This window comes from Homo sapiens, chromosome 7 (assembly GCF_000001405.40).
Source record: "Homo sapiens chromosome 7, GRCh38.p14 Primary Assembly".
NCBI lineage: Eukaryota > Metazoa > Chordata > Mammalia > Primates > Hominidae > Homo > Homo sapiens.
This window is the reverse complement of record NC_000007.14, coordinates 157821898-157838152: the sequence shown is the minus strand read 5'-3', so window position 1 is coordinate 157838152 and position 16255 is coordinate 157821898. Positions and strand designations below refer to the sequence as shown.

The window sequence follows — 16255 nt, the reverse complement described above, 5'->3', positions numbered from 1 at the left end:
AGGAGCTTTCTCCCGTGCCATCCACTATGAGAGGAACTGGAGTAGGCATAGTGGAGAGGAGCTTTCTCCCGTACCATCCACTATGAGAGGAACTGGAGTAGGCACGGCGGAGAGGAGCTTTCTCCCGTGCCATCCACTACGAGAGGAACTGGAGTAGGCATAGTGGAGAGGAGCTTTCTCCCGTGCCATCCACTGTGAGAGGAACTGGAGTAGCCACGGTGGAGAGGAGCTTTCTCCCTTGCCATCCACTCAGCAAGTGTCGGACTCCACTGAGTCACTTGTGTGTCCTATGCTGGGCAGCAGGGCTGTGAGATCCACGGGACCCACCCCTGAGTCCAAGGCTCCGTGTCTAACAGGTGCAACAGACGTGTGGCGGCAACAAGGAAGGGTCATGGAGTGAAGGAGGATGTGAGTCCTGCCCTGTGGAGGCTGGATACACTGTGTCCTTGTGAGGGTCATGGAGGATGTGAGCCCTGCCCTGCGGGGGCTGGATGCACCGTGTCCTTGCAGACGGCAGGAGTGCGAAGGACTCAGGCACAGAGCAAGAGGGCATGACCCAGCAGAGGCTGTCAAGCCCAGGGTGTTCCTGGGTGCGTGTGCTGGGGAGTCGACCTCCACAGAATGTGGTACATGGCCCTGGCTCCTCATGGTGCCCCTTCTGAGCCATCTCGGATGACTCTGCATCAAAACAGCCTCCCCCCTCCACCACCTCTTCCATCAGACACTACATCCCCCATGGGCATTAATAATGTCCTAGCCGTCCATAAACCTCAGAGCCTGGCCCACAGCACACAACAAGCGAGCAATTCTCTGGGTGGGTGGGTAGATGGAGGGACGTGTCGATGGGCAGGTGGGTGGACAGGTGGTGGTGAGTGGATGGGTGGGTGGATGGGTGGAGGGACACATGGAAGGGTGGATGTGTGGATGGGTGGGCAGGTGGACAGGTGGTAGTGAGTGGATGGGTGGGTGGATGGGTGGGTGGATGGAGGGACACACGGAAGGGCGGATGTGTGGATGGGTGGGCAGGTGGACAGGTGGTGGTGAGTGGATAGGTGGGTGGATGGGTGGGTGGATGGAGGGACACATGGAAGGGCAGATGTGTGGATGGGTGGGTGGGTGGACAGGTGGTGGTGGGTGGATGGGTGGGTGGATGGAGGGATGCATGGAAGGGCAGACGTGTGGACAGGTGGTGGTGAGTGGACAGGTGGTGGTGAGTGGATAGGTGGTGGTGAGTGCAGGGTGGGTGGGTAGATGGATGAGTAAGTGGGTGGTTTGGTCGGGGGATGGATGGATGGATGGATGGATGAATGGACACACAGTTGTAGATTTGGTGACACAATTTGGAAGTCTCTGGAGCAATTAAAAATGGTCCAGGCCAGGACATGGTCATGACATAGGCCAAACCTCTTCTATATTATCTGTCAGGAAATCATATTTTTGTTAAAATACTTGTTTTGTGTCTATTGAACACTTAGCGTGGAAAACTTAGAAAATGCTTACTATTTGATATTCTTTTAGGATGTGTGTGTGTGTGTGTGTGTCTTTATTTTGCTTTTCAGTTTGTATGTGTGCCTTATCAAATTGTCTTTAAAATATGCTTCTGAGGAACACTTTGGTCTTTATGTGGTTCTGCTGTAAGTTCTTCAACCCATGTGCTATTGTTGAACATTTAGCTTGTTTCTAGTATTTCATTATCATAAGTCTTGCTGCAATTAATATCCTTGGGCATACATTCAATCTATGTGGCTTACTGTTTCTTTAGGATACACTCCTAGAAATCTAACTACTATGTGAAATGGTGCAAGCTCTTCTAAATACCTCAATTCCTCTTATCCAGTTGAACTAATATCTCCAACAAATGCAGGTGCATCTGGCAAGTCCAATAAACCTGCCATCATCCACTCACTTAACACCAAGGGTTAGGACTTCATTTAAGTGCATGCAATTATTTAGGGCAAACGATAGCATCTTATCATTGGTTTAATTTATAGTTTTTGATTTATTGTAGATTTAAACATTTTATCATACTTGATTATTGATGGTTCTGCTTCCTGGGATAATCTCTTCATGAATTTTCCTATGGGAGTGTGAATTTTCTGAAATAGACTCACGAGTACTCTTCATATTTGTTTTTGCCTCTTACTTTTGGCCAATGTTCTGCCAGGCTTGTCTGTGTCTAACGTTGCTTGTTGTACTGTCTGAAGTTCAGAAAGGCTGAGCTCTGGTGGATTCAAATGCACAGTCGTTTCCTTTAAGATTTTGTCAATCGCTCTCATGTTTAGAAAGTGCTTGCTCATCCTGTCATCAGTGAAACACAAGTTTTTATTTGTTATTTTTATGGTTCCATTAATGTGTTAATGTATCTGGATCATTTCTGGTGGTTGTAATGTGTGTGAAGTGAGGGATAAACTAGGACCTTCCCCCAAGTAAACTCTAGTTTCTTGAATAAGCCATTGTTTCCCACGCATTTGCAGTGCACCCTTCGGCTATGTTGTTAATTTCGCCCCTGCACCCTCCCGAGCGCCCTGAGAGCCGAGGCATTGCTGCAGATCCCTGTTTCCTGTTCTTCCTACTAGTCATTCTAGCTTCTTCTTGCAAACTCTCCCCCATCCTTAGGACGAGTCTCTTTCCTGTGCCGTACGTCTCTAATATCCCCTCTTTTAGCATCTTTTGTGCTTTGCTCGTGATTCTCGAAGAGCTTTGCGGGTTCGGTTGTGAACTGTAGTCAGTTCTGCTCTGCCGCCTCAATGTGAATTTTAACTCTGCTATTGTAGTTTTAATTTCCTCACAGTTATTTCTCATCTCTCCCAGTTCCAGCTCTTTGCCTTCATAACTTGGTAACGGTTCTGTTTTTATGACACCCTGTTTTTCCCGTTGTGTTGTGTGTTTCTGCTCCTGTTTTTAGAGAGGCTGTGTGTCTTGCATCTTCGTTGGAAAGGGTAGCAGAGTTCTCTTCCAGCCACCTTAGGAAATCCTCCTGGAAGGTCTGCTTGTCCTAGGGGGCTCAGGACGCTGTGGCCTGTCTCTTACTGAAACCATATTTTCAGCTGTCCCTGGTTGCTGGCTTTTATCTTCCCTCTTCACTCATTCTCAAAGGAAGAGAAGAGAAATCTATCCAGCTTCTTTTCCTGACAAAAGGCAAGAAGTAGCTCATCACTGCCCCAGCTCCATTCACCACCCACAGCAGGCTACATGCATTCTTTCCCCAGATCTGTGGCTCGGGGAGTAGGCGGACAGGTCAATGTTCACAGCTGCAGGAAAATCCCTGGTTTTGCTAAGAGAAGCATTGAAAGCTGGGTCCGGTGCTCTTATTGACAACACATTTGGGGTTCATGACAACAAGCCCCGTAGCCTCATGTGCGTCTGTCCTCCTAAGGTGGGTCCCCACACCCGCCTGGGGTCCTCCCTGCAGGCCGGCTCCAGGCTCACTGGAGGCTGGGCCCGCAGCCCCGTGGCTTCCCCTCTGCGAGCGTGCACTCTGCACACACAAGCACACCCACGTTTCTGTCTGGAGCCGCCCGCTCGCCCTGACTTCCCTGTGAGCGCAGCTGCGCTGGGTGCCCCTGGTAGCCAGCGGGTGGGTCGACTGATCAATTGATGGATTGATCACAGGGAGTGCTTCTGGCTCACTGATTGGTGGGTGGAATTGATGGATTGATCACAGGGAGTGCTGCTGGCTCACTGATTGGTGGGTGGAATTGATGGATTGATCACAGGGAGTGCTGCTGGCTCACTGATTGGTGGGTGGAATTGATGGATTGATCACAGGGAGTGCTGCTGGCTCACTGATTGGTGGGTGGAATTGATGGATTGATCACAGGGAGTGCTGCTGGCTCACTGGTGGGTGGAATTGATGGATTGATCACAGGGAGTGCTGCTGGCTCACTGATTGGTGGGTGGAATTGATGGATTGATCTCAGGGAGTGCTGCTGGCTCACTGATTGGTGGGTGGAATTGATGGATTGATCACAGGGAGTGCTGCTGGCTCACTGATTGGTGGGTGGAATTGATGGATTGATCACAGGGAGTGCTGCTGGCTCACTGATTGGTGGGTGGAATTGATGGATTGATCACAGGGAATGCTGCTGGCTCATTGATTGGCGGATAGAAAGTACTACAGAGAGTTTCGAAGGACGTTGGCAGAGGAGAAATCCGCCAGCTCCTTCTTTCGGCACCAGGTCAGAGAGAATCTGGGGCTGCAGTGTTGGTTTCTGGGTTCAGTGCGCCTCAGCCCAGTGAGGAGTGGAGACCAACAGCGCCAGCTGCCCACGTCCTGTCCGATTCGACTCAGAAAGCCACAATGCTGATTTATGGAAATGAGCGGCTTGTTACTCCTAAAATGTCCATGGATGAGAGTTGTGACCAGAAGAAATGCAAAATATTGAAATTTATCTGGAAGGAAATTGAAGCAGCGGATAAGATCATCATACTAACGGCTGCATCTCCACACCCTCCCCAATTTCCTAAAACCCAGGAGAGCTGCTCCCGGAACTATGCTCCATCAAGTTTACCATCATACAGGATGGATGGGCTCCGGCCACGTCACACACTTCCTGAACGAGTTTACAATCATATGGGATAGATGGGCACCGGCCACATCTCGCTCCTGGACAAATTCACCGTCATACAGGATGGATGGGCGCCGGCCACGTCGCATACTTCCTGGACGAGTTTACCATCATATGGGATGGATGGGCACCGGCCACATCTCGCTCCTGGACAAGTTCACCATCATACAGGATGGATGGGCGCCCCCCACGTCACACACTTCCTGGACGAGTTTACCATCATATGGGATGGATGGGCACCAGCCACATCTCGCTCCTGGACGAGTTCACCGTCATACAGGATGGATGGGCACCGGCCACATCACACACTTCCTGGACGAGTTTACAATCATATGGGATAGATGGGCACCGGCCACATCTCGCTCCTGGATAAGTTCACCATCATACAGGATGGATGGGCGCTGGCCACGTCGCATACTTCCTGAACGAGTTTACGATCATATGGGATGGATGGGCACCAGCCACATCTCGCTCCTGGACAAGTTCACCGTCATACAGGATGGATGGGCACCGGCCACATCACACACTTCCTGGACGAGTTTACCATCATACAGGATGGATGGGCACCGGCCACATCTCGCTCCTGGACGAGTTTATCATCATACAGGATGGATGGGCACCAGCCACATCACGCACCTCCTGGAGAATCCCGCCATCTCATCACAGTTCTTTGACCAGTTGGCTATTTTCTCCATTGAGTAAATTGGTTTGGTAACTTTTCCCACTGTCCCCATTCTGATCACAAATCCAGTCACTCTCTGCTGTTGCTTTTGCTACTAGAAGGAAGAGAACTGCTCCATATACTGAAATATTTTGGGCCAAGCCTTCCAGTAACTGAAGATCCATTCAGCCTTTGAATCAACCCCAGATTCCCACGCGAAGCATATGTGTTTGGAAACTGTGACAGATTGTGCCTTTCCTTCCTTCTCACCCTCACCTCCCCCACACGTGCAGCTCCTTCGTGTTTCCATTTCTTTTTTTCTTTTTAACAGCAATTTTTGTGGCATCTAGAAGCAAGTGCAGTAAGTCTCTGGGTTTGAAGGGAGCTTCAGTGTGTTGGTCAGTCAGGCAAAGCGTGGGTGAAACTTAGGAATCCTGTGTTTCTCTTTGAACTCAACAGAACCGCTACATTTCTTGACTTCCACCTTCCCAAATGTATGTTTAAAACAAAAACAAAAGTATTCTGTCTCCAGTTTACAAAGGCAACCTTCCTGAACAGACCAACATGGATTAGTGCCGCCTGTCGGAGGAGCCACTTGGCAATGTGTGAGCGCAGCCACAGCACACGGTAATTTGCAGAATGCAGCCGCCTCTGATCGGTCTGAAATAATCCTCCTGTTTATGAAACAGAGCCTGAGATGCAGCATCGAGCCTGGTGCCAATCACAGTGGTAGTGCGGCTTAACACAGAGCTCGAGTCCTGAGCCTGTGAGACCGGCTGAGCAGCTGCCACAGCCTTGGTGCCACCTCTCATGTCCTCCGAGCTTCCGGGCGCTGCTGAAGAATTCATCACATGGTTGTGCAAGTGCCTCCACCCCGGAGAATTAGCGGAGGTGCCAGGTGCTCCGGGAGGACCCCTCAGGGCCATCAGCAGCCCAGCCGTCACTCCTCATGCAGACGAAGCAACTGCCAGACAAACTTCTTTCCGTTTTCCAACAACTTACCCCGCTCTGGAGCTCCATAACTGCCCTCCCCCAGCTTAAGGATGGCTATGAATTAAACCCTGGAATATCCATATATTTTATGGCCTAGGGTTCCATTCGTGGGACGTCTCGTGAGGGTCTAACGTGGCCAGGCTTGTCATAGGACTGGGCTGTGCTGGTGTGAGGACAGCCCCAGCTGCCTGGGGGAGGGAGACGGCAGCCTATACCTTCCCTGCTTCTCGCAGGCCCGAAGTAGAGGGGAGCTCAGTGCAGAACACCTGTGTAGACTCCCAATAAGGGTTGGATGTCTTCCTGCTCGTTCTGACAGGTGGAGATGGCTCTGAAATGCTCACTGAGACCCTCCCAGCCACTCCTCTGCTCCTCCTCTTCCCTGCCTCACCCTGCTCAGTACTGCAGGGTGAGAGGGGCCGTGGACAGGGATGGGGAGGGCAGCTCCGTCTCCCAGCCCCAGCCCCAGGGCAACTCCAAATGCACCCAGCCCTGCCCTGCTCTTCCCTGGACACAGAACCCGCATCAGTTAAGATGCTTCGGGAAGAAATAACAGAAAACCCCAACGAGAGAAGGCTTAGACTACAGGATATTCACGGCTGCACATGGCGGGACACCTGGAGGAGGAGTGGCCGCAGTGCTGGATGAGGCTACAGGTCGCTGGGACAGGCCTGCACCATGGGGGCTTCTGTCTCTGGACTTCCCTGCACCCCTTGTAAGATGCTGCAGGGCCCGAGCAGTTCCTCCCCACAGCTGGGCTCACAGCAAGGAGTCCCTCTTCCTGTGCTTCTCCCTTTATCCCAGAATTTTATTTTGCAAACTCCACACTGTCAAACAAGTTGAAAGAAGAGTAAAATGAGCACCTGCACCCTCTTCCTCCAGAGTCACCAACTTTGAGCTCTCAGTCATGCCTGCAACTCTGTCATTTACCTGTGTGTCTGGATGGAAGTCACAAAGGTTGCTGCAGACATCACAAAACTTCCCCGTGAGGTGCAGAAAAGGGAGTGTCTGCATCATCCCCCAGCGTGCAGCCTGGAAGCAGTGACGTTACTTAGCACACGTTCGTATGTGGCCAGTTTTCCCGTTGTCCCAATAGCTTGCTTTTTATTTTTAATCCAGATTCCAATCAAGGGTGAATGCTGTGTTTTGTTGTGACATCTCGGATTTTCTTTGTTCTAGAATACTTCTACCTTTACGTTTTAGTTTTGGTCTTTTCTAGCATTGCAATTGTTAGAGAAACCAGGCTTGTCCTGTGGGATATCCTGTGGCCTGGGCCTGTTGGATTGCCCCACACTACTAGATTCAGATGCAGGTCTTCAGCATGTGGTGATGTGTGTGCCTCCGGCAGCTGTGGGTGCACGGTCAGCCCCTCCCCGCGTGGCGATGTGTGTGCCTCCGGCCACAGCAGGTGCACGGTCAACCCCTCCCCGCGTGGTGATGTGTGTGCCTCCAGCCACAGCGGGTGCACGGCCAGCCCCTCCCTGCTGGGACAATGCCAAGTGCAGTCGCTTTGGTAAAAGAGGCACCTGCCACATCACTCCATTGTAAAGGTAAATTCTTCCCTTGGTAATTCATCGTTGATTTGCAGGATGATACCTTGAGAACTTAGGGGTATCTTGTTACCAGCAGCCTTTTACCATGTGCCTCTTTTTAAGGGCTGAGTAGGGAAGAAGGGTGGGCTGGATGCCCCTGAGTCTGAGGATGAGGACTGTGAATTCAGGGACCCCAGATGCCCCTGGGGGTGCTCAGCTGCCAGTGAGCAGGCACAGAGAAGCCAGCCCCTCCTTTCTTCCAGGGTTGGCACTTCCCATGGGACCAAGAGCAGGAAGACAGGAGGTCAAGGACACCATCCAGAAAGGACAGTGGGAGGGAGGGTGGGGCAGGAGGGGGTGGTAACACGGGGGAGAGAGGATACTGCAGACCAGGAGTTCTGGTGACCAGGACACAATGTCTTTGGAAGCATGGAGGGACAGTGCAGCTAGAAGCACGGCCCACAGACAGGTGGAGCTGCCACTGCAGAGGTGCAGGGCAGGCAGCTGCCATGGGGCAGAGGAGACATCACCATCATGAGATTCAGGGTGAAACAGAGTTTGCCCAGGGACAAACGTGTTGCCGCCAAGTCAACATCTGTACCATCATGCCTGAGGAGTCGGGCCAGGGCTTTTCCTGGAGCGACCTTCAATGCGGCTGCTCTCCCGGCCCTCTGGACGGGGTGGTGCTGGGGCAGCCACTTGGGCTCTCAGCAGGTGGGTGCACGGTCATGCTCTGTCCTTCCATTGCAGAGATGGCTCAGCTCACAGTGTGGCGCCTTCCGCCTTTGTAAGGAGTCTTCACCAACATCCTCGTCCTCAGCTTTTCCGTGTCAGTCTTGCTGGAGCCTCTAGAAAGCAGAGGCTTTCACGCCGTTTAGCATCACCTACGCTTTAATGACAGCCTTGTCCAGACTTTCAAACTTACCTAACCCCACGTATGGCCTGCGGTGCACACGGGCCCGCATCTGTGGCCTCACGGTCAGGGTGACCCCACAAAAAGAGCGCCCCAGATGAGGACCTGTTTGATGTTCGTCTTTTTTAAGGACTTCTACTTACCAGCCGAGTGTTTGATCAGTGGCGAGGCCTCATCTCTTTTGCGCCACCGTGTTCAGATAGCACCTGCCCCAACACTCGCAGCAAGACGGGACCCTTGCCTTTTTGTTTTTGACTTTAAATAGCTCCTCATTGTAGAAGACAGTTTATTATGGACTCTTCAAAATACATTTCTAGGGAAACAAATTTAGTTGTCCTTATTAAAAATGTATTACATATTTCAGAATCAAAGCTCACGGCTCACGAGCATCCCGCGCCCGGCTGCGCCCCGCGCTGGCATCGCAGACGTGTCCTGGAAGGAAGAACTCCAAGTGCATTTGAAATTCAAATTGTGTTTGGTTTTAAGATGGGGATGTCATCAATTTCCCTTAGAAAATTATAAAAACCATGATGCATAAAGAAATACAGTTGGAGAAAACAGTGACACCATCTTCGTTCCTGAATTGGTGACTCCAAACGGCTTGCCCTTGGAGGTCACTTTTATAGGGGGTTACGCAAATAAAACTGAGTGGCGTTGTTAAAATTCTCCACTACTGGACCTTTTTAGCCAAAGTGGGCATTTTCGGGAGTCGGCAACACAGACAGACCCTGTCTTACTTGTCAGCTGTTTGGCAGGAAGTTGGTACTTTGCCATAGATTTCAGTTTACCTGGTTTTGTTGAATGTCTCATAAACAGATACTTGATTTGACTGTTTGTACCTGCAGTAACCAGGACATCTCTCAGGGTCTTGCTGTGATCATACCTGCAGTAACCAGGACATCTCTCAGGGTCTTGCTGTGATCATACCTGCAGTAACCAGGACGTCTCTCAGGGTCTTGCTGTGAGCTGCTGCCACTTTCCAGACTCTTCCTTCACCATATAGTCTTGGTGCTGATGACACGGATGGCTCTGGGGCAGGGAAGTGGTCCCGAGGGGCACAGCTGTGGGTGCCGAGGGCTTGCGGAAGTGGGGGCAAGTCTTGTATCCGATCGCTGTTCCGTCCATGGGCTCTGTAGTCAACGTGGCCTCTTCTGTGGTTGCTCGTGAAGACACAGCTCAGCATCTACAGTCTGTAGCAAGGTGGACAGTCTGTCTACAGCCTACAGCAGGGGCATCCGGACAGGTTGGAAAAGGGAGACTGTGGTGACCACACGCGTGGAAGGGGCTCAGAGAAGCATGAGGACCTCCCACCATCTTCCTCTGAGTAAGACGTGATGCTGAATTTTAACCCAGAGGCTGGTCCCAGCTCCATCTGCATGTGGGGAAAATTAATGTCAGGAAGGAGGAAAACCAGAACTTACGAAATGTACTTCCGTGGCCGTGAAGGCAGGCAGGTCCCACGGTGGGGACGCCCAGAGCTGCACCCCAAGCTGCCGTCTGAGGGACCCTCCAGGGCAGCTGCCTTGCGGAGACCTGTCAGCCCAACTGTGTCCTGGGGCTTCAAGCATTTTCTTTATGTTTACCTTTTCAAAAAAAAACAAAATCAGAACGTGCAGCCCGAGGAAGGCACTGAGACTCTGGGAACAGCCCGTGACACGGTGGCCGTCCCTGAGTCAAAGCATCACAGCCGGCGAGGGCGGGGCCGGCAGCTCAGGGGCCACATCCACCCCGGCACGGTGAGTCGTAGTGGAGACACCACCAACCGCCCTCCTCCAAGGCACCCCAGCACCTGGTCCTCAGTCCTCGCTCAAGGAACATCTGCAGAGCACACTGGGTTCCCCCAAATGCCGGAGGGGTCCTTTGTGGACGCAGTGCCCACTCCCTGGGCCACTGGGTTTGAAGGACAACTCAGCCCCCATGGGGGAAATAAGTGAATTGAATGGAGGACGTCACGCCTCACTGGAGGTCTTAGGTCCAACCCCCACCACCCACACAGCCCGAACGCTTTCTCAGGCCCCCAGACAGTGCCCAGGGACATTCTGATCGAGCTTGGCCTCCAGACAGCCACGGCCCACACTGTGTTGTGTTGTGTTGTGTTGTGTTGTGTTGTGTTGTGTTGTGTTGTGGTCTCTGGCTTCCTTCATCCATAAATGGGTGCCCACCTCTCAAAACCGCTGCAGGAATCGAATGAGATAATATGAGGGCTCAAGATGAAAACCCAAATGCAGGGTGTTGTCGAAAAGCTCTAGAGAATGGAAACTCCAGAAAACCACAAGGGCCTTTGATGCTTCATGAGTTTGAAAACAATGTTTATACAGGAGTTAGGGTTAGGTTTTGGATGACATTCAGTTAGAAAAACTCATAGCCAGTCTGCTTGGTTAGAAAATATAGTAACTTCAGATGTCTGGCAGTGTTGTGTTAGGACCAGAGAACCTAGTGTTTTGACCAAGGAAGCATCATCTCTAGTGCAATGTGTCTGCTGGGGACACGGTCGGAGATGCAGGACAACTTGAAGACATTTGGAGGGTCCTGTGCAGGAGCCGGGTCAGTATAGACCCCTCTGGTGCCTGTGGGATAAGTCGTGCTCCTGGGCAGATGAATTCGCTGCCCCGTGCGCAGGATATATGGGCGCCTTTCCTGGCTCCCCATTGCCCCATGACCTCACAGGAGGACGGTGACATCCTAAAGCCATGTTCTGCCCACCCTCTGGGATGCCATGGTCCCCACCCTCTGCAATCAGGACTCCCACTTGCTCCTGTGACACCCCCAAGTCCCCGCCAGGCTCCGCTGAGATTACCAGGGCCCTCACCTGTGAACTGGGAAGAGTAATGCCCACCTTGTTGCCTGGCGTGAGGGTGAAATACAGCTTAGCACAGCACGCGTGGAAATGGCGCTCACGATTGTGACGATCGTGTTCGTGCTGCCATCTTTGCACAGCACGCGTGGAAATGGCGCTCGCGATTGTGACGATCGTGTTCGTGCTGCCGTCTTTGCACAGCACGCGTGGAAATGGCGCTCGCGATTGTGACGATCGTGTTCGTGCTGCCGTCTTTGCACAGCACGCGTGGAAATGGCGCTCGCGATTGTGACGATCGTGTTCGTGCTGCCGTCTTTGCACAGCACGCGTGGAAATGGCGCTCGCGATTGTGACGATCGTGTTCGTGCTGCCGTCTTTGCACAGCACGCGTGGAAATGGCGCTCGCGATTGTGACGATCGTGTTCGTGCTGCCGTCTTTGCACAGCACGCGTGGAAATGGCGCTCGCGATTGTGACGATCGTGTTCGTGCTGCTGTCTTTGCACAGCACGCGTGGAAATGGCGCTCGTTGTGATGATTGTGGTCATCACAGTTGTGTTGTCATCTCAGCACAGCACGCGTGGAAATGGCGCTCATTGTGATGACTGTGGTGATCACGGTTGTGCTGCCGTTCTATTTACTGGTGGTGGCTTGAGCAGAGGGGATTGCCTGACCCCTTACATGCACGGGGGAACAAAGTGAAAGTGGTGAATAAAGCACTTGCGCTTCTCCAAAGCCTTGACTCAGTGTACAAAAGAGCATCTGTAACTTTTCAAGCACCCCTAAGCCACAGACATCCAGAAGCTCTCTACAGTGATGCTACTTTTTGTCTCCTGGAGCCTTGAGGTCTCCAGAACAGTGCCTGGGAGCTCGGCAGAGAAGCTGAGTGGTGGAAGCTGAATGGGGCTGGGGCCAGCGCTGCTGCTCCCCCGGGATCCAGCCAGGTTTTCTCAGATCTGCAGAGAAGGCGCCTGAGGTCTGCCTCGAGAGAGATACCTGTGTGAGCCCCAGGTGTGAACTCAGACATGAACAAATGTGGAGGGCAGTGGTCCAGGCAGCAGAGCTCACTCGTCCTCTTAACACGGGAGCCTTCATTGTTCAAAGGTGTGATTCATACACTGACGTGGCATTTTGACACTTTTGAGAGGATAATCTGTTCACTGGCAAACACGTGTGTATTAGTCAGGATTAGTGTGACTGAGTGTGACAGAAAATAAAAAATAAAAGTGGCTTAAATGAGCTGGAAATGCACTTTCATTTCCTGTGGAAGAAGTCTGGGGGGGAGGCAGTCTGAGGACCTTGCAGCCTCTGAGGTCCCAGAAACAAGGTGTTCTACTCCTGCCGCTCCAGCCCTCAGCCCTGAGCTGCTCCTCATGATCCCAGATGGCTGCTGGAGATCCCACCATCCAGGTCTCATTTCAGCCAGCAGGAAGGGGGAAGAAGAGGAGCAGGGCGCGCGTCCCACCATGAGACACTCCCTGAAAGCAGCACACAACTCTCACTTGGGTTGCCTTGGCCAGAACCGAGTCGCATGTCCAGCTTCAAGAAAGGCTGGGAAAGAGAAACTTCATCCACGTGTCCAGCTACAGACCAGAGGCTCCAAGGAAGCAGAGGAAGACCAGCAGGCCTGGGATGGTGAAGAATCCTCGTTTGCCCTGAGCCAAGCTGCCTTGAGATGGGGTGGGGTCTGCAGGGTCCTTGGGGCCACATTGGCTGACTCCCCAGGCCCTCAGTTTTCCCAGCATGACTCAGCCCTAATGTGGGCCCTGGGTGCCGCTCGTGATCCGCCTGCTTTGTGGCTTCATTCAGCATGTGGAAGTGGTTCCATCATCTGCTCCAGCCAAGGCGAGGCGGGTTCTGCCTCACGGGAAACAGGTCACCCTTTCTCTGAGGAGTGTTGCCTTCTGCCCAAGTATTTGGGGCACAGCACTAGTTGGGGGTCACTGCAGTGTAGCATCCAGGTTCACACCCAAAGACTCTTCTGCCCACCAACAGACAGCCAGTGACCCAAAAGCATGCCTGTCCTCTAGAACTTCCTGTCGAGCCAGGTCTCACCATGTCCCTCCGGAATGGGGCAGCCTCCATTCCCTATTTTGCGGGAGGCTCAGTTGCCAACAGTCCAGAGTTCCTACCGAGTTCTTCCGGGGGCCTGTGTGGCAGCCTTGAGTCAGCAAAGAGTCCCTGAGTGTCAGTGACACACCTCACGCCATGCAGGCACAGAGAATCCACGGACAGCATGCACTTGTCCTCGGGAAGCTGCTGCCCATTGGACAGGTGGGGCACCAGACAGAGGCCTCCCATCCTTAACATCCCAAGACAAACCTGCTAATTAAGGCTTCAGGTGCAAAGGGGAAGGCCCTCTTGTGGTTCTCTGGCAGCGGTCGGCACAACAAGCTCGCCCCCTGCCCTAGGAGGAGGACCTGTGGTCAGCTTCTACCTTCAGGAGGGTGACTCTCTGGCAGCCGTCGGCAAGCTGAGCTCGCCCCTGCCTTGGGAGGAGGACTTGTGGTCAGCTCCTACCTTCAGGAGGGTCACAGGAGGCTGTGCACAAACCCCACTGACGGTCTGAGCTCTGGGGCCGTGTGCTCTCGCTGGGTTCAGGGGGATTGTTACTGATGGCAGAGCGAAGGTGACTTGAGATGCATCAGTTCTCTATGAGGGCTTGAAGTCCAGGCCACTTTTGAGCCAGTCCATCTGCTCATCTCTAGAGTAAGGAGGAAAAAGGAAAAAACACTTCTAATTTCTCTGTCTGTCTCATACCCAGCTGTGGAACGAAGGACTGATTCAACCTCCTCCCCACTTTGCCCTCCAGATTCCCCTTAGAGACACAGGCTGGTTAGGGTATCTGAATTATTTGAGCAAAATTTTCATGCTTAGGGAAAAGCTTGATGTGATCAAAACCTAAGTCTCAGGACATCAAATCCCCAGATGTTTAAGGTAGACTATATATATCAAGCCTTTGAAGAGTTCAAAGGAATGCTAGCCAATGAGTGAGAAAATCTGAAAACTTCACCAGTCCTTGCCTGTCATATGAACTTGATGATCTAACCTGTAGTCTTGGATGTCAGGGGCCTCAGAAACACAACTTCCAAACCAGAACATCCTTGGGGGATGAAGACAACAGGGATCCTAGGAGTCCAATTCTAGTCTCTCCATTCTGGATATCTCCACATCAAGAATGAATAATAGATGGAGTCCAGCTGTTTTGTAGCAGACTGCAGATTAGTGATTCACTGATTGTAATCAGAAGCAGCTGCTCATAATCACAGCCCAGGTACGGACGCTCATTGTCAAGTACTAGGTGTTAATTTTTTGCCTATACCCTGAGCCTGAGGCTAGGAGTGTCTTGAAGCTAATGATAACATAATCTTGCAAACATTAATTAGAATTTCTTGAACTTATTCTAATAATTTGTTATTTTGCCAGGCTTTAGTATTTTAGGTATTTATGTGTTTTAAGGTTTTATTAAATATTTTAGGTGATTATTAGCTCTATTTTTTAACAATATGGGTCCTCAATAGAAATCTGGATGGATGGATGGATGGATATATGCTTCCATAGGTAGATGGACAGAATGGATGGAAGGAAGGATAGATGGATGCATGCATGGATGGATGATGGATAGTGGGTGAATGGATGAGTGGATAGAAGGATGGAAGGATAGAAAGATGGATGGGTGCATGTATGTCTGTATGGATCATGGGTGGATGGATGAATGCTTGATAGTGGATGAATACATGGATAAGTGATGGATAGTATATAGATAAATGGATGGATGAGTGGATGGATGGATGACAGATTGGCTGATGGATGAGAGGAAGGATGGATGCCTGCATGGATGATGGGTGGATGGATAGATGGATAGTGGATGGATATAAGGATGGATGGATGGATGGGCTGATGGATATATAGGAGGAAGGATGGATGCATGTACGCATGGATGATGGGATATGTGGATGGGTAGATGGATAGTGGATGGGTGGATAGAAGAGTGGATGGATAGATAATGGATAGTGTGTAGATGGATGCATGGTGAGTGGATGGGTAGATGAATGGATGGATGAAAGGGTAGATGGATGATGGATAGTGGATGATTGGATGAATGGATAAGTGTATTATGGAAAGATAATGGATAGCGGATGATTGGATGGATGGATAAGTGTATTATGGATAGATAATGGCTAATATATAGGTGGATGGATGATGGATAGCATATAGATGGGTGGATGAGTGGATAGATGGATGATGGATAGTATATAGATGGATAGATGAGTGGATGGATAGTTAATGGATAGTATATAGATGGATAGATGAGTAGGTGGATGGATAGTGTATAGATGGATGGACGGATGGATGGATGGATGAGTGGGAGGATGGCTCATGGATAGCAGATGGGTGGATGGATGCATGAGTGTATTATGGATGGATGATGGATAGTGGGTGAGTGGATGGATGGATGAGTGTATAGATGGATAATGGATCGTATATAGATGGATGGATGAGTATTTGGATGGATGATGGATAGTGTATAGATGGATGAATGGATGAGTGGGTAGATGAATGCACAATGGATAGTGGATGAGTGGATGGATGAGTGTATGGGTGATTGATGGATAGTATATAGATGGATGGATGAGTGAATGGATGGTTATTGGATGGTGTATAGATAGAGGGAGGGATGGATAGATGAGTAGATGGATGGATGATGGATAGTGTACAGATGGATGGATGGGTGGATGAGTGGGTGTATGGATGATGGATAGTGTATATATAGATGGATGAATGAGTGCCTGGAT

The 16255-nt window shown here is 51.1% G+C and overlaps 1 protein-coding gene across 10 annotated transcripts in view, besides 2 other annotated features; it reads left to right on the top strand.

The window, feature by feature from the left end:
- The window catches only part of PTPRN2 (protein tyrosine phosphatase receptor type N2), a 1048768-nt gene that overhangs the window by 749671 nt on the left and 282842 nt on the right, over nucleotides 1-16255 (top strand). The gene's annotated exons all lie outside the window — the stretch shown is intronic.
- Nucleotides 8171-9044: an enhancer, noted in NCBI's record as "H3K4me1 hESC enhancer chr7:157621801-157622674 (GRCh37/hg19 assembly coordinates)". NCBI's record gives its function as "activates a minimal SCP1, AML or CMV promoter by ChIP-STARR-seq in naive H9 embryonic stem cells {active_cell/tissue: H9 hESC(naive)}" and the evidence as "EXISTENCE:reporter gene assay evidence [ECO:0000049][PMID:30033119]".
- Nucleotides 11213-11721: an enhancer, noted in NCBI's record as "H3K27ac-H3K4me1 hESC enhancer chr7:157619124-157619632 (GRCh37/hg19 assembly coordinates)". NCBI's record gives its function as "activates a minimal SCP1, AML or CMV promoter by ChIP-STARR-seq in primed H9 embryonic stem cells {active_cell/tissue: H9 hESC(primed)}" and the evidence as "EXISTENCE:reporter gene assay evidence [ECO:0000049][PMID:30033119]".